We start from the raw sequence: 17548 nt of genomic DNA on the forward strand, positions 1-17548 counted from the left end.
CCCTGATGCCCCTAAGTCTGGGTGAGGCACCTCCTCTGGGCCCATCAACACATCTATAGGCCTATCAACCTGCTGTCCTAACCATCTGTTCCTCTGTCTCCCTTGATAGACTCTAAGTCCCCTGAGGGCAGGGATGACTGCTGCCTCATTCACCCACATTCTGCCACTTACAGCTGTGTGACCTCAAGAAAGTCATTTAACCTCTCTGAATCTGTTTCCTTATCTGGAAACTTGGGATGATAACATAGGAATTTAGAATGAATTAAATATTAATACATACATGCAAAAAGCTCATGACTGAGTCTGGCACACAGCAAGTAGACAATAAATGCCAGCTCCTGTCATTACTTACCATTGTTTAGCCAATGCTCATCACAGTGCTTGTTACAGAATTCTCACTCAATAAATATTTTCAGGGAAGAATTCATGAATGCTCTTCTTTACAGTAGTCACTGTCCATCTTAGACCAGCTGGGGCCTCAGAAATCAGCTGATATATGTTTCCTTTTGCATTTATTTTTTATTTTTATTTTTTAATTCAGGAAGGTACACAGGGTCATAAAAATGAAAGAGGCTTGTACCCATGCTTGCCTTAAATGGAATCACCCAGTCTTAAAATGTTGTTGTACAGGGAGAAACACCAAAGCCCAGAAAAGGGAGGCGACTTCCTCAAACACAGATGGTCAGGGTATGGGGAAAGAGTTAAATGAAATAACGCACGGGAAGCTGTTAGCACGATGCTTGTTGTTCCTGCAGTGAGACTGGACACTTGCTGGCTATTACCCTCCTTGCAGCATCCCCACTCTCTCGTCCCCTCTGCTAGGTGGCCCCAGGAAGCGTTGGGTACCTTGTCCTTGAAACCCACAGCCCTTTCCATCCCTCTCTCTTTGACACTTGTAGGAATGTGGGAACAGATCCAGGTGAGACACGTAGTAGGAACACAGTCACATTTGGGGGCTTAGCTTGTGCTCAACCTTGCCTTGGATAAGTAAGTGCATTGGATTTCTTTTGGCCAGAGAGTGGAAAAGCCTTGCCTTTGGATATCATCATATCAGAGAAAACTTAGGCCTGCAATCACATACAACAACTGCTAATGTGGACTGCAAGCCTGCTACATACAGCATTCTCTGCGTGCGCCACACCCCCTCCATCTCCCTAACATCATCTCCATCCTCACTCTGCAGATGTGGGAACTGAAAGCTGAGTGGTTGCAGGCTTTGATTGCAGCTGCATGGCTTGTGAGGGTTTGAACCCGCATGGGTGGGTCTAGGTCAAAGCTCATAGTGCCATGCTCAGCTGCCCCTTGCAGGGTTGCCCCCTCATTCCCCTCCCCTCCAGGACTTTAGGAATCCCAGGCCCCCATGCCTCCTTGGTTTCAGACTTTGTGTCTCATTATAACTTTGTGATCTGAATCTCTGATGTAAGCATTAATATTTTTTCATCCTTATTCTTGACCCTAAACATAATAATTATTGCTCTAATTCCCTGTAATAACAGACTCCTGGGAAGTGGAAAAGGACTTGGCAGTTACCCTCATCAACTCCATCCTTACTCAACAAGCACGGCTCCTTCCCTGGTTATATATCAAGATCTGCTGGGTGTTTTTAAAAATACAGATGTGTGGGCTCCATCCCTGACCCCCTCCCCCAACTAAATCAGAAATTTGCTGGGGTCAGGGTCAGATATCTCTATTTTAAAGAGTCCCCTGTGCCTTCAAAGGGCAAGAGTTCTCTACTCCAAGGATGAGAGTCAACCTTCGAAGTCAGTTATCCTTGGACTCATTGTTACCCCCACTGTTTATCAGTCCTGTGACCTTGAGGGAAATGTGTGACCTCTCTGAGTAGCCATTTCCCAATCTATGAAATGAGAAGAAAAAAATTCTTGCCGGGTGCGGTGGCTCACGCCTGTAATCCCAGCACTTTGGGAGGCCGACGTGGGCGGATCACGAGGTCAGGAGTTTGAGACCATCCTGGCTAACATGGTGAAACCCCGTCTCTACTAAAAATGCAAAAAAAAAAATTAGCTAGGCGTGGTGGCAGGCGCCTGTAGTCCCAGCTACTGGGGAGGCTTAGGCAGGAGAATGGCGGGAACCCAGGAGGCGGAGCTTGCAGTGAGCTGAGACTGTGCCACTGCACTCCAGCCTAGGCAACAGAGCAAGACTTCAACTCAAAAAAAAAAAAGAAAAAAATCTTGGGTTGTAGAGACGTTAGAAAACCTAACTTCCTTAGGCTGGCAGAGCACAGGACATGTAATAGACATTCAGTAAACCAAGCCCCCTTCCACTCTTACAGTAATTGTATTAGTACAGGCTACTTGGTCTTTTACTCCTATAAGTCAAGCTAAACAGGTCAAGTACTAGCAGACTGATGTTGAAGTGAGAGCTTTAGGTACAAGTCCAGCTTCCCTTCTTAATGCCTTTGTGACCTTGGATAAATTGCTGAGCCTCAGTTTCCTTATCTGTGAAATGAGACTGATGTCACATACCCCAGAGGGTCCCAGTACACATTAAAAGAGACTGAGTGTATAATGCATTTAGCACAGAACCTCGTCCATAAGAAGTGCTAGGTACATGAAAACTAAAATGAACAGCATTCACATCCGTTTCTGTTGCCCGCATTTTATAATTCAGTAAAATCAAACCAACCACTTCCATTGACTCGGACCATGAGTGTTTAGAGACTAGACCAGAATTTCAAGGACTTGCAGTCTTCCAGGTGCCAAGTTAACAGATTTTTGTTTTTAAACTATAGGGATTTAGGACTTAATCCACAGGAAATGGGTTTGGCAAGGCACCATAAGAACCAACACAACTTCTAACCCAATTTCTGTCCAGGCCTTTATTCACTGATGCAAAATTAATTTAACAGTCATCTCTGGCTGGGGCAGCTCCAGAAAAAAAGGGTGGTCAGTTCCAAAGCAAAAGATAGAGGGAACGAGCACATTAGACAAAAGTATCAAGATCCAAAAAGATCGGAGCAGGTCTGAGAAACAAGCCAAATCTAACAGGGTGGAATTTAACAGGGACAGATGCACAATAAATGCTGCTTTGGGACAATGGTAAATCCTGTTTCTAGGTCCTGAAAACCAGGCCCATAAACGCAGGGCAGGAGAATTATGCCATTACTGGCGTCAATGCTCAGTTAGCCAATGACAGTCAGATCTTCATGTCCCAGTTACTGTGGAGTCATGGTTGAGATTTGAACTGTGGGGCTAGCCTGCTTTCACCATTTACCAACGAAATTATTTAACTCTCTCTGCCTCTGTATTCTCATCTAGAAAGTAGGGATATACTTGTTTCTAACTTACAGTATTGCTGAGAGAATTAAATGGTATAATGCATGGGTCTGGTCCGAGAGAAGCAAAGAACAATAAAGCAATCCCTCATTAAGGAAGGCACAGTCTAGCAGGAGAGACTGACACATAAGCTATCAGGTGCTATTCAGTGTGCTGAGTCTTTGCCCAAGATGTCATAGAGCAGAGGCTGGCAAATTACAGCCCACTGGCCAAATACAGCCCACTATCTCTTTTTATAAATAAAGTTTTACTGGAACACAGCCACACCCATTCATTTATATATTGTCTATGGCAGCTTTCACACTACAAATGTAGACTTGTGTTGTTGTAACAAGACCTTATAGCCCATGATGCCTAAGTGTTTATCACCTGGCTCCTTACAGGAAAGTTTTGCCAACCCTAGGTATAGAAGAAGAAGTTAACTCTGTCTTAGATGCCAAGAAAGGAGATAATTTTTGATCTTCTAATGTGTATCGAGTTCTCTAATAGGTGAAAATGGCTGGAGGGTAAGGAGATTGATTGGGAAGATGTTGGTCAAATGATACAAAATTTCAGTTAGACAAGAGAAATATGTTTGAGATCTATTGTATACCATAGCAACTATTGTTAATAACAATATATTGTAGTCTTGAAAATCGCTCAGAATAGATTTTAAGTGGTCTCATCACAAAGAATGTTAAGTATATGAGCTAATGTATGTGATAATTAGTTCAATTTAACTATTCCACAATGTATACATATTTTAAAACATCATGTACGTGATACATGTATGTGATAAACACATACAATTTTTATGTGCCGATTTAAAATTAATTAAATCAGTGAACACGTATTAATGAATTTGAGGTTCTATAAGGCTTGATGACTGGCTCAAAGTCACAGATAAGTGTTAGGAGCAGAACTCAAACCTGGACTCCACACTGCACACTCTTTTCACTGTCCCAGGAGCATTAAAGTAACCAGACAGCATATTTATGAAGGGTATTGAAGGGTGAATAGAAGCCTCCCAGGTAGAGTTGATGTCTAAAGAATGAAAGAGGTATCCAAAGATGGTTAAATGAGCAAGAACAAAGTGTCCAAGATGTGAACATATTTTTGAAATGCAAATCGTCGGGTGTGAAGAGATTCTAGAATATGACAGCTGGGAAGGGGGATGGGAAAGAAGAAAAGAGTCCACAGGGTGGGCGATGATTGAGGGAAAGCAAAGAACTGTCCACTTGCTGTCAATGATCTCCCGCAAGGTCTCAGGAACAGCACTCCCACAAAAATGGATTGGGGAGCAATATGTCCGATTACAGACAGTCTGACATCATGGAGCCTAGTTATCTCATTGTACAGATGGCAAAACAGAGGACCGGAGAAAGAGGAAACCTTGCCCTAGGCCACACTGCACGTCGGTAATAGAGAATCCAGGATCCCAAGATTTGAGTCCAGAGATCCTTCCCATCACACCCACGGAAGGGGAGGATTCTGCCAGCAGGGGCCGCTGTGGCCAGCGCGCCTGCGGACTAGGATCCTTGTGCATCTGCAGACAGTTGATGAAGGTCTCTCGTTTCCCTGGGACTGATTAGGTTCAATTGAATTATCCATCTTGTGCCATGGTGTCCCAGACCCATTTCTGAGGGGTCACCACGCTGTTTAGGATGAGCGATGCCGGCTGGAGGCCCGCCAATGCACCTGTGGTATTTTGATAACTTCACATATTGCCAACTTCTTAATTTTAATATACAACTTACAAGCAGGGCAAAGTTTAACTCACTCTAATCAACTGTAAAATGAACTGGGGACTTGCTGTTCCCCTCTAAAGACCTGCGTCTGCATCGTGCTCATCATTAATGGTCGTGGAGCTCTCTGCTTGCCGAGATTGGTTATTAATGAGGGCTGGAATTACGGATTTCAATTAAGTACTTTGCACTGGTCCTGAAATGCAGTGGGATCCACTCTGGGGAAATATAAATGCTGAGATGAAATACAGTCCTGCCTCCCAACCCCCTGTGTCCACAGGTACCATCTTCTCAGCTCCATCTCTTTCTATAAATCTGTGGCAGCACCCTGCAGGACAAAGAGGGTGGGCATTGGGTCCAAGCCTGGGCCACACCATCTGTAGCTTTTTCCTGGAGTCTAGGCTTCCTCAGCTACAGCTTGAGTTTATGGAGGGCTCAGTATGTGTCAGGAGCTGGGAGTATAAACACGAATAAACCTGGTTCCACCAGCTGTCAAGTCTCTCTAAGAATGACTATAAAGGTCAACATTGGTTAATAGGCATTGATTAAGCACCTACTATGTGCAAGGCATTGTTCCTAAACTGATACCTAGGAAATTTTTCTGGGAAATGCTTTGAAATCCAACAGAACTGAGTCTAACTTCTGATCCTGCCTGCTCAACCCATAAGGCCTTGGGCAAGTTGCTTAGCCTCTTTGAAACTCAGTTTTTCCCCCTCTAAAATGGGAACAATAGCATTTTCATTACATGCTTCTAAGGATTAAATATGACAGCCTAAGTGAGGCACCTGGCTTTTCCTGAATGCTCTTTCTTAGACCTTTGTGAGGTTATTTACAACAAGAAGGCAGTTCTTTGCTTTCCTTTAACCATTGCACCCTCCGCTGGATTCTTTCTTGCATCTTAGCATCTCCCTCCCATGCTGTTATAAGTATTTAATAAAAAGCCATTACTATTATTGCCCATCTCCAGATCTTTACTGATCATCTACCATGTTCTCAGACCTAAACTAGGCGCATTGGGAAAATGCCTCATCACATGATTAGATAAGAATTTGTTCTCAAGCAATTTAATCTCTAGTTTCAAAAGCAGGAATAACACAAGTTGAGAAGAATTCTGTATCTGTAACTAATTAAGATTGCTGGTGCCTGGTTGAGAGAAGGGGAGAGGTGGCTAACGCAGACTGGGAAACTCAGGACACTGATCTTGATAGAGAGGTGAAGCGACCAACCAGAGAGCAGGGCTCCTGGGCCACGAGGCTGGGTGATGTGAGAGGACAAGGAAGCCTGTTCTTGATTGGCTTGCAGGACACCCACGGAAAAGCCATGGGAGCTGTAGCATAATCTGTGGTGTGGTGTGGCAAAGAAAGCTCTGGATGCTCCCAGCTCTCCTATGTGACCTAAGCAAGTCTCTTTTCATGTGGGGTCTCAGTTTCTCCATCTACAAAATGGGGAGAATTAATCCAACTTCTTTGTGGGCTTATTGTGAGGATTACATGAAATACAGAGTGTGAAAATGTTTTGAAAACTCTAAAACCTGTGGGCACATGGAGAAGCAGACAAGCATCACAGGAGTCAGGATGAAACCAGACAAGGCAGTGAACACACACACAGTCAGTGACTTGAGATCTTCTTCCTTGGGTGTGTGACCCCAAGAACATTCACCTTGGTCCGGGCTGCTGGCTGCAGCTTCAGACCCTGGCTGCCTCCCCTCGGGCTGGGCAGCATTTGGATCCCTGCTCACAGCCTCAGGCTGCTTCACATTCCAGACGTGCCACTTCCTCCCTCATGCTGTGACGAAGAAAACCACAAACAGATTTCCCATTAACTCATGAAAGCCTTGCTGCCTGGAAAGCAAAGCCTCCTGCTAGTCCTCAGCACTTTCCCAGGGGAGTATGGGAGAAGGCAGGTGGGGGAGACAAGGGCTAAAGGGGAGAGCACAATGCCAGCTCAATTGTCATACTTGGAGGGGACAAACAGCCAAGACCAAAAACCCAAGAAGAAACAGGAGGCAGCGTGATTCTCCTGTGCCAACTAAGTGCTGTGCTACCTCTGTATAATGACTTAACCTCTCTGAGCCTCAGATCCTAAAAAAACAAATTGTGCAAGAATATACTTCAAAAAGAATTTAAAAGCCATTGGCCATTTTCCTGCTGTCTTAACATTTACAACTGACATACAGAGAAGAATTTTGAAGTTATTAAAGCTTATCTATATCTATTCTCATAATCAATCTTCAGAGCAAACTTGGGAGTAAAATAACAGAAGTTCATTTGCACACTTTAGAGATTAGAAAATCCAGGCTCAGAGAGACAGTCCCCCTCTGTCAGTAGAAGAACTGGGTCACCTGACATCTCACCATATTCTTCAACGTCTTTGCCTCTCTCCCCTGAAAGAAGACTCTTTCTGGACCATAACATGCATAATGGTATGAACAACACTTAATTTGCAGCGCAAAGGCTGAGATTCTTTTTTCTTTTCTTTTTTTTTTTTTTTTTTTTTTCCCCAAGACAAAGTCTCACTCTGTCGCCCAGGCTAGAGTGCAGTAGTACAATCTCAGCTCACTGCAACCTCCACCGCCCCAGTTCAAGCAATTCTCCTGCCTCTGCCTCCCAAGTTGCTGGGATTACAGGCATGCACCACCATACCCAGCTAATTTTTTTTTAATTTTTAGTAGAGACAGGGTTTCACCATGTTGGCCAGGCTGGTCTTGAACTCCTGACCTCATGATCTGCCCGCCTCAGCCTCCCAAAGTGCTGGGATTACAGGCATGAGCCACTGCACCAGGCAAGGCTGAGATTCTTAGAGGTCAATCATCCCCCTGTCTCCACACCACCTCAGGTAAAAGACCTGGAAACTTAGAGAGATCTCAGCTACCAGACTGATGACTTTAATGCTATGAGGATACTTTGTTATTGGACATCTCTTTGGAATTGCTTTTCCTGGTTTCTCTTATGGGCAAAGAGTTTGCAGCATAGGATTACTTTTTATTGATAACCCAGAGAGGGGGCCTGTGAGAAAATGAAAAGTCTGTGCACTTGCTCAGGGCCAAATGGATTGAGCCTGATTTTGAAAATGCTTAGGATCCCTTTACTAGGATGGCGGATGAGCAAGAAAAAGAAGGAAGATTCACACCTCTTTAATCCCATCAGTGCCATAGCTGTTGTGGCTTGAACTGCATTCCCAAAAAAGATATGTTGAAGTCCTAACCCCTGATATTTGTGAATGTGATCTTATTTGGAAATAGGATTTTTGCAAATGCAATCAATATAAGATGAGGTTATACTGCAGTAGGGTAGACCCTACTCCAGTGACTGGTGTCCTTATAAAAAGAGGAAAATTTGGTCACAGAGATATGTGCAGAAAGAATGCCATATGATGATGGAGGCAGAGATTACAGTGATGTGTTTTCAACCAAGGAAGAGCAAGTATTGCCAGCAACCACCAAAGCTAGAAAGAGGCAAGGAAAGATTGTCCCCTAGAGCCCTCAGGAGGAGAATGGCCCCACAGGCACCTTGATTTTGGACTTCTAACCTTCAGAACTATAAGAATTAATTTCTGTTGTTTTGAGCCACCCAGTTTGTACTTTATTTATAGCAGCCCCAGGAAACTAATGCAATAGCATTGGCAGAACAGAAAATGAGTGGCATGTGTTACAACCACCAGAATCCACCTCCCCATGATGCTCTGGCCCTTCTGACTGGCAAAGCCTTTGTGGATTTTGTTGCCAATGTGGTCTATCCCGTGTCTTAGAGATCACACCAAGGCTCATCCCAGTCCAATGCAGAAAAAGTTTATGTAAACATTGTATAAGTATTAATTTTAGCGACTTCTAAATCTCTTCCCAATTTTGAGTGACTTCTAAATCTCTTCCCGATTTTTCCACCTGCCACCTTCCACCTTTCCAATCTCTTCCTGATTTTTTCACCTTTCCACCTTCCAAAAAACTATCTTAACCACCCACATTCACCCAATCATCCACCCATAGGTTAATCATATATTAATATAATATGTCCTACACAGTAGGACACAAAAGTGAAGGTGATAACAAGTCCTGTGATCATAGGAAGTTTAGATTCTTAGTGGCAGAAGCTATGGGAAGAAACATAAAATAAACATGTAATCTGATGAAGAAACAAGTTCAAATATTGAAAAGTGCTACATATTAAGCAAAACCAGGTAAGAGAACAAGAAGGAATGGAGGTGGGGGAGGCCACTTTCAGTTGGATGGTCATAAAAAGCTATGCTGAAGAAGAGTTTTTGAGACAGGTGGATAGAACCTTATATATATTTCTGAAAGTCAGTGGATGCTATTACTCATGAGGCTCTTCATCCTGTGAGGACTGATATTCCCAATATCTTATATCTTGATTCCATGTCCTCTACCTTTCCACTGGCCCAAACCTTAAAAAAAGCCTGAATTCTAGATTTCATATTCCTGGGAGTCAAATATAAATCACTATTTCCCTTCTCTTCCAGTATGCTACACTGTTTATAGGCAAGTGACTATATAATTTTTCATTCAAACTGGGACACTTCTGAGAAGGGGAGAGGCATTCTGGATCATTACACAGGACAACAGGCATAAACCAGGATGGTCCCAGACAAGCCAGAGTGTAAAGTGACCCAATTTACAGGCTGTAACTAGCTCCGAGATCGGTAAACTCAGTTTTTTAATGCAAGTGCTGTATCCCAGATCAATTAGCTAAGATGGAGAGGATGGAAGAAAGGTAGATATGCAAATAGCTGTCCAATCAAAGTCACCCAGCCTTAAGGTAAAGGCCTTTGCCTTCCTCCAGATTCACTGCATTCCTGTTACTACTAAACTTCTTTAGGATGAGTCATGATACATCAAAGATGCCAGCATGCCCCTCTTCACCTTCTTAATCCTTGGAAAATTACAGCTTACGGCAGAGGCTGCTAGAGGGCCCCCTAATATCCATGCTCCCCTTGTTTCATAACAACAGAATCTAGCTGCCCAGAATAGAGGGTACATTCTTCAGCTTCCCTTGCAGCTAGGTGTGGCCATGTGACTTAATTCTAGTGAATGGACGCAAACACAGGTGTTGAGTGGAAACTTTCACAAACCTCTCTGAAGATACAGTTGTTTGTTGGGTATCGTCTGCCCTTTCCTCCCTGCCTTCCTCCATAATTCTGTGACAAACATGGATATGATGGCTAGAGTTTCTCCTTGGACCTTGAAGTCAAAGGGCACATCATAGAGATGGTGGAGGGATGAATTGGAAAGAGCTGGGTGCTATCACATGACCAATGGTATGACCACCACTTGATTGGGAGGTAAGTGGCAGGTAAGGGTTGAGATTAGTTGTCAATCTAATCATCCCTTGCCTCCACACCACCTCAGGTAAAAGATCTGGAAACTTGGAAAGATCTCAGCCACCAGGCTGATGACTTCAATGCTAGAAGAATGATACTTTGTTATTGGACATCTCTTTAGAATTGCTCTTCCTGGTTTCTTTCATGGGCAACAAGTCCAGCCACTAGCAGCCGTGGACTTTCAAGTGAACAAGAAATAAGCTTTCACCCCATTTAAGCTACTCTGTAAGCACTCTCAGCTGTGCCTAATCATAACTGAGACCAAGTTCCTCTAATTCCTGACATGAATTCTACAGGGTGGGAGAACTGAGTCCCAGAAAGGGGATGTCCAAAATTCGTAATTAAAATTGAAAAATTAAATTAAAATATAGCAGGCTTCCCAACTTCCAGCTTTCACTATATTCATTCTCCTACTCAATAAACTTTTCTTGAACACAAACACTGTATCAGGCAGTAAACAGGTACTGAGTAAACAGAGCTGAGTAAATCAGGTTACTCTTGTCGGGAGCTCACGATCAAGAGAACAAATAGTAAAATTACAGTCTGAGAAGTGTTATACACATGCACGCACACGTGCACACGCACACACAAGGTAATGTAGGAACCCAAAAGAGGGAGGAGCATCTAACTGCTCTCAGGAGAGAATTCACAAGGGAGGCAACACTGGAGCTAAATCCTTAAGAAAGAATAGGAGTTTTCCAGTTGTGGAAGGGGGAAATGGCATTTTAGGCAAAAGTATGCAGGCCAGAGAGAACATGGAACAGGTGCTAGGCATAATAATGTCCTCCTAGAGATGTCCAAGTCTTAATCACCAGAAGCTGTGAATACATTGCCTTCCACAGGAAGTGGGGATTAAGGTTGCAGATGGAATCAGGGTTGCCAGTCAGCTGGCTCTGAAATGGGCAGATTAGCCTCAATTATTCAGGTGGGTCTAATATATAATCACAAGGGTCCTTAAAGCAAAGGAGGAAGCCAAAAGCTGATCATGGTTGAAGAGTAGATAAAGTGTATGAAAAGAGGTTGCAGATATGGGGGGGTCCATGACCATAGAGGCTTAAATTTCAAGGCAGACATTTTGAAATGCATAGGCAATGGGAAGCTGCTGAAGGATTCTAAGGAACGAGTGAAGTGGTCAGATTGCATCACAAAGAGGTCGCCAACTGGTGCAGAGGAGGAACTGCCAGAAGGCAGGAAGACTCCTGGAGAAGAAGTTGCAGTGGTCCTAGTGAGCCCCCCTGGTGAGCTGGGGCCACAGGGGGGCTGCCTCCTCTGGGCCCTTAGGACCCATGGGCCCTCCGCACCACAGCACTGGCTGCCAGGGGCCATGTTATGTTCCCCACTCCTTTCCTAGTGTCCTTCTGGAGGCAGCCTCTGCAGTGAAAAGCCGGACTAGAAGAGAGGTGGGCTTGAGACCTGCTCTACCATTTACTAACTCTGGGGCCTGAACCAAGTTACCTCACCGCTCCGCGCCTCAGCTTCCTCATTTGCAAAGCAGTGATGACAATCCTCTTTCAGGGTGCTTGTTTGGCATGACACTTACCAAGCCTCTCCATGCTTCCTATGAATGGCTGCATCATCCCGAAATGCTCCCTGCTGAGTAGACTATTCTCCCCGTGCTTTTAAGACTCCCACGTTGATTTCAGGAGGAAGCAACCAAACTGCAGACTTGGCCCTCGAAGCTCTCTGGAGCTGTGCAGTCTCCGGGCCGGTGTCCTGCACTATTGCTCAGAAGGCTGGGCGCCATCTAGAGGGCAACAGCGGCAACAGCCAGAAGGCAAGGAAAGCCGCAGTGATTCCCAAACATAACCAAAGGGGATGCGGGGAAGCCTGCTTCTGGCTCTGTGGGTGGATTCTATAATAAAATGAAATGTGAGATCATAGAACCTTTTAATTCTAGCATGTAGGAATTATGAAATTATAGAAAAATTAACTCTCTAAGCTATAGGGGTGGAGTCTTAGAATCACACAGTCTTTGACTTTTAGAAATAGAGAATGCAGTATTTCTAGTGTCTTCAGTTCTTATACCCCTGGGTTACCCCTTGCCTCAATAGAGTACAAATTCAAACTTTGAACATTGACACCCGGATCTCAGCCTCCAACACCTCACCTGCTTGACCGCAGCTCCTCCTTTTCTGACCAGTCACCCCCAGAAACCTTCCAAGGATGGCTCACCACCAGCCTCTACTGCCAGAACAAAAGCCCCTTGATGTCAAGGACTATGCCCTTCACCTCCTATCACCGGCACAGGGCCAGGCTCACAGTGGTGCAGGAAGGCAGCATGATCCCACTGTCCTCAACAGCAGAAGCCTATAGGTTCAGATCCCAGCTCCACTACTGGCTAGCTGGAGCATAACTTAACTTCTCTGGGCCCTTTGTTATTTATCTGTAAAATGGGAAATATCATAGTATCCACCTCACGAGGATATTAGGAGGCTAAGTTAACATAATCTATAGAAAGTACTGAGAAGGATTTCTGATACGTGATAAATGCTCGTGATAAATGCTTGGTAAATGTTAATGGTTTATTTTATTTTATTTTATTTTATTTTTTTAGATGGAGTCTCACTCTGTTGCCAGGCTGGAGTGCAGTGGCACGATCTCGGCTCACTGGAACCTCCGACTCCCTAGTTCAAGCGATTCTCCTGCCTCGGCCTCCCGAGTAGCTGGGATTACAGGCACACGCCACCACGCCCATCTAATTTTTTGTATTTTTAGTAGAGATGGGGTTTCACCATGTTGACCAGGATGGTCTCGATCTCCTGACCTTGTGACCCACCCACCTCGGCCTCCCAAAGTGCTGGGATTACAAGTGTGAGCCACCACACCTGGCCAATGATTCTGTTTTTGTTTTTTTTTGTTTTGTTTTTTTTGTTTTTTGAGACAGAGTCTCCACTCTGTCGCCCAGGCTGGAGTGCAGTGGCACAATCTCGGCTCAATGCAAGCTCCACCTCCCGGGTTCATGCCATTCTCCTGCCTCAGCCTCCCGAGTAGCTAGGACTACAAGCACCCGCCACCACCCCTGGCTTTTTTTTTTTTTTTTTAGTTGAGAAGGGGTTTCACCATGTTAGCCAGGATGGTCTCCATCTCCTGACCTCGTGATCCGCCCGCCTTGGCCTCCCAAAGTGCTGGGATTACACCCAGCCACCGCGCTCAGCCCAATGGTTCTTGATTATCATTAAAGTTGGGTTGAACTCTATGGGCAATATGGCAGCAAGGTGCCTTAGTTCGGAGACCTGACCAAACAGTGAGGGAAGCAAACAAGCAGGAAGAGGACCATTGGATATTGAGCACCCATGTGTGACAGGCGCATGCTAGGTGCCTTGCGTGTGGCTTATTAACTTCTGAAGGCAGGGCTTATGCTGTGTGCCAGCAGCTCAGTGCCCTGTTCTTGGACATTCTGATGTACCTTCCCTTCTTCTTTCTCTGTCATCTTTTGCTTCTCCATAAAACTTTCTCTGTCCCTCCAGGCTCTGGTAGCTGAGGGATTATCTCATCTCTCATTAACATAAAGGGAGTTAATGTCCAGCAATTAGCTAAAGCAAAGATAAAGAAAGCTTTCAATTCCTGTGCTGATTCCAATTAGTCTTGGCTGCCTGGAGTTCTAATCCGAGAAGTTACCCAAGGCCGTGTTGGTGTCCATGCATAAGAGTGCTGAAATAAATTGGTGATGTCTGCCTTGAGATTGGTGGGAATGAGTAGCAGTATGTGCGCCTTATACCCACCAGACCTCTTTGTGAAGAGGTCGGAAGATAAACAAGGTTTTGCCACTTACTCTATCACAAGTGTTTTAATTTTATTCATTAATCACATTTAATCTTCATAACAGTTATGAAGTAGGTGTGTTATCCCTATTATATAGATAAAGCAACTGAGGACCTAAGAGGTCACTGAAGAATTCATGTGAGTAAATCAAAAGTGTTTGCATTTTAAAGGAAACTTTAAATGGCTTTACTCAAAGGTATGGGGAAATTCTAGGCATCCTAGCCAGTCGGTGGGAAGAAATGTTGATGCAGAAAGTGTTTCCAATGCTCTGTAGATCACAAGGCATACAGTGTTATCCTCAGTCCTTTACACACCTTTGCTGAGAATGATTAGAAAATAGGCACAAAAAATGTTAAACTGCAGATGCATCTCACTTTAAGAATATACACACAGTACAGAAGCCCAGAATTCACACTGGCCAGGTTAAGGGCTGAACCTCCATTGAACAAAAGGATCTCTCTATAGACCAGCTTTCGAAGACATTTGCAGGAGGACCAACTTTGCAGGAGAGTCAGGCCAGTGGGACAGCACTGAGCCAGCAGACATGAGACCTGGGTTCCAACCTCCCTTTACCAGGAACAAGTTCTTCCCCTTCGTGGCTTTTTGTATCTCCATCCAAACCATGAGGAGGTTAAATAAGAACTATTGATCTCAGTATGGGCAACTGTACCTCTAAAGAATGATTTAGATAGTTCCAGGGCAGTTTTGGTTGTCACAACAGATAGAAGGGATTCCACTGGAGTTTGGATGCTAGACAGCCTGCGGCAAAAGAGAAGACCGAGCCAATGAAGAACTCGACCACACCCCACTCAATTTTGGGATGTTTCACCTGACATATAAATGAAAAGTCTACGTTGTAATTATCTGGGTCTAGATCCTAGTTCCATTTCACACATAGAGAAAGCATTTTTGCATGATTGTAACATACATGTATATACACTGAATTTTCCTGGATGCCGGTATCATGCAAATCCAGAAGAAATTGTGCTTGTTTGTTCAGATAGCTACTGTTTCAGAAAATTACAACTCGAAAGGCCATGCTGTTCGTGTATTTGGGTGGCCAATTCCACACATCCATTTCAGTAACTATCAAGCAATCATCTGTCTGCTATTATGTCTTCCAGTCTAGTCACATCCACTCATTCACTTATCAACATACATATTATTTTATTATAAATTACTTTGCTTTTTATTTTTCATTGACTTTGCAGTTTGGGCATTATATAGATTTTTAAAATGAGATGTCTAGGTGGGTTATATAATTTATGAATCCCATTTCAGGATAATAAAGGTAGCATCACAAAATATTAGTCTGGAAGGTTTGAGAATTACTAGGTCACATGACCCTTGGGTTCCTTCCAGCCCAGGCAAAGCAGAATTATTATGCAAAGAGAGACATGCCAGAATCACGTGCTACACATTACAGGTAGGCGAATGAGAGTAAATTATCTTGTTTTCTACAAATCATCCTCACCCACTAAATATCCCTTAGCCATTCCAGAATGTACAGTAATCTGCCCCACTGAATGCATCCTGTCTAATCTCCCAAAAAATAAAATTGCCTGGAATTGAGTTTGGGCACATTTGGTTCAAGAATGCTGCAGCTTCACTAGGTTGGAGCTGAGCACGTGCTCTTCTAAAATTTATAGTGTAATTGATTTTTTTATAAGCTATTCAGGCCTTATTATTTATTAATCTACCTGTCAAGGTTAATTTAAACTACTTCTCAATAAGGCAGTTTGACAACACCTTTGTTTTCCAGATTGACAGCCCTGGTGAATAAAGAGATGGCACAGCGATCCCTCTGCCCTTAACAGACACCTCTGGGAAGGAACCTCCAGCAGGGCAGTGCGTTACCCCGCCCTCATTAGGAAATGCAAGAGGCCTCCCATCCTACTGAGTGGGGATAGAATCCAAAGGTTACCCTTTTGTTTCCAAGTAGGTTGTAGGCCCCAGGACTTGCACCAGCCACCAAGTGACAACTGAGTCCTATAATCTGCACAGCTTCAACTACCCTTAGATATTCCCTTCCTTGCACATCGTCATGATCTTAATGGTTACTGCCTCCCAAGCTCATGGCAACAGTCTCCTAACTGGTTTCCTTGCCTCTACTTTTGTGTCTCCCCATTCATCCCAGGTGATCTTTCCAAAATGCAAGTATGACCACGCTACACCTCTGAACAAAGCCCTTCAGTGGTTCCCACAGAACCACTGAATGATTTCAATCATGTGGGCTTGAAATGCACAGAGTCAAGTTCAAAGTCCTCGATGCCCTGGCCCCTGCCTACTGCTCCAGCCTCATCTCCCATCACCCCTTCTCTGTCACCTTTTACTTTATGCCCCAACATTATCACTCAGTGTGCTGTTCCTTGCCATCTGCGTCTTTGTAATGCTGTTCCCTCTTCCTAGATCCTGGTCATCATCAAAACTCCAGTACGAATGCAGTCACTGCCATTTGCTGTCCTGACTACTCCCAAGAGGTGGATCATGTTCTGCCTCAGATTTATGTTCCTGAAATCCATGTATATTGAGTTGGTAAGCAACAAATACTTGTCAAGTGTGGACTGTGGGACACATATAGTGCTGAGACCTAAGGATACAACAGAGAACTAGAGAAAACTTGTACCTGACCTCCCACAACTTATGTCCACACTGTGAGCTCCTTCAAGATAGTTGTTCTAATGCACTTCCCAGCATGGTGCTGATGGAAGTACAAGGAGACAAGGCCAACATTTATTGAGCACAAGCCACCCTGCTTATACTTCCTTATTTCATATTAGAAACAATGCAACAAAGCTAGCATTTTTGTGTCCCCTTTCAGAGATGAGCAAACTGGAGTTCAAAGAAGTGAAACAGCTTGCCAATGTTTACTCAACCCATTTGTGGTGAGTCCAGTCTCCAAACACAGGACCGATTCCAAAGCCTCAACTCTAGTTCCACACTGTACTGCTCTCCTGGCACAGAGTTCGGACTTGTTGAATAAATCCCTGATATGCACCAAGTCAAATGCTCTTATTGTGTGTCTTCAATTTCTTTCACAGTAACAGGATAGGATAGAATGTCTTTGACTTTAATGACATTGAATGGCTGAGTCCACATTCCTGGGTAGATCCGTGATACACAGAATGTAAGGCCCATGGAGTCTGGATCTGGCCTGCCTTGGTAACATTGGGCCCTGTGGGAGCTCAGTGCATGAAATTCCCTGAGAGACCTTTTTTTTTTTTTGAAACGGAGTCTCACTCTGCCTCCCAGGCTGGAATGCAATGGTGTGATCTTGGCTCACTGCAACCTCCACCTCCTGGGTTCAAGCGATTCTCCTGCCTCAGCCTCCTGAGTGGCTGGGATTACAGGAGCCCACCACCATGTCCAGCTAATTTTTGTATTTTTAGTAGTGATGGGGTTTCACCATGTTGGCCACGCTGGTCATGAACTCCCAGG

General features: G+C 44.3%; 2 long non-coding RNA genes across 2 annotated transcripts in view, besides 3 other annotated features; one reads left to right on the top strand and one right to left on the bottom strand.

Annotated features, from left to right (window-relative positions):
• The window catches only part of LOC107987122 (uncharacterized), a 101852-nt gene extending 89512 nt beyond the window's left edge, over window positions 1-12340 (bottom strand). Inside the window, exon 1 of the long non-coding RNA XR_001746919.2 lies at window positions 11889-12340. This is a non-coding gene — a long non-coding RNA (uncharacterized LOC107987122). The remainder of the gene's footprint in view (window positions 1-11888) is intronic.
• Window positions 5902-6499: an enhancer, noted in NCBI's record as "H3K27ac hESC enhancer chr9:122725385-122725982 (GRCh37/hg19 assembly coordinates)". NCBI's record gives its function as "activates a minimal SCP1, AML or CMV promoter by ChIP-STARR-seq in naive H9 embryonic stem cells {active_cell/tissue: H9 hESC(naive)}" and the evidence as "EXISTENCE:reporter gene assay evidence [ECO:0000049][PMID:30033119]".
• Window positions 6500-7095: an enhancer, noted in NCBI's record as "OCT4-NANOG-H3K27ac hESC enhancer chr9:122725983-122726578 (GRCh37/hg19 assembly coordinates)". NCBI's record gives its function as "activates a minimal SCP1, AML or CMV promoter by ChIP-STARR-seq in naive and primed H9 embryonic stem cells {active_cell/tissue: H9 hESC(naive and primed)}" and the evidence as "EXISTENCE:reporter gene assay evidence [ECO:0000049][PMID:30033119]".
• Window positions 11157-11657: an enhancer, noted in NCBI's record as "H3K4me1 hESC enhancer chr9:122730640-122731140 (GRCh37/hg19 assembly coordinates)". NCBI's record gives its function as "activates a minimal SCP1, AML or CMV promoter by ChIP-STARR-seq in primed H9 embryonic stem cells {active_cell/tissue: H9 hESC(primed)}" and the evidence as "EXISTENCE:reporter gene assay evidence [ECO:0000049][PMID:30033119]".
• Window positions 12341-16461: 4121 nt separating the features above from the next.
• Window positions 16462-17117, top strand: LOC107987123 (uncharacterized). The gene is made up of 2 exons (XR_001746920.2): window positions 16462-16645; window positions 16932-17117. It is a non-coding gene; the product is annotated as an uncharacterized LOC107987123 (long non-coding RNA).
• The last annotated feature ends 431 nt before the right edge of the window (window positions 17118-17548 follow it).

This window comes from Homo sapiens, chromosome 9 (genome assembly GCF_000001405.40).
Source record: "Homo sapiens chromosome 9, GRCh38.p14 Primary Assembly".
Classification (NCBI taxonomy): Eukaryota; Metazoa; Chordata; class Mammalia; order Primates; family Hominidae; genus Homo; species Homo sapiens.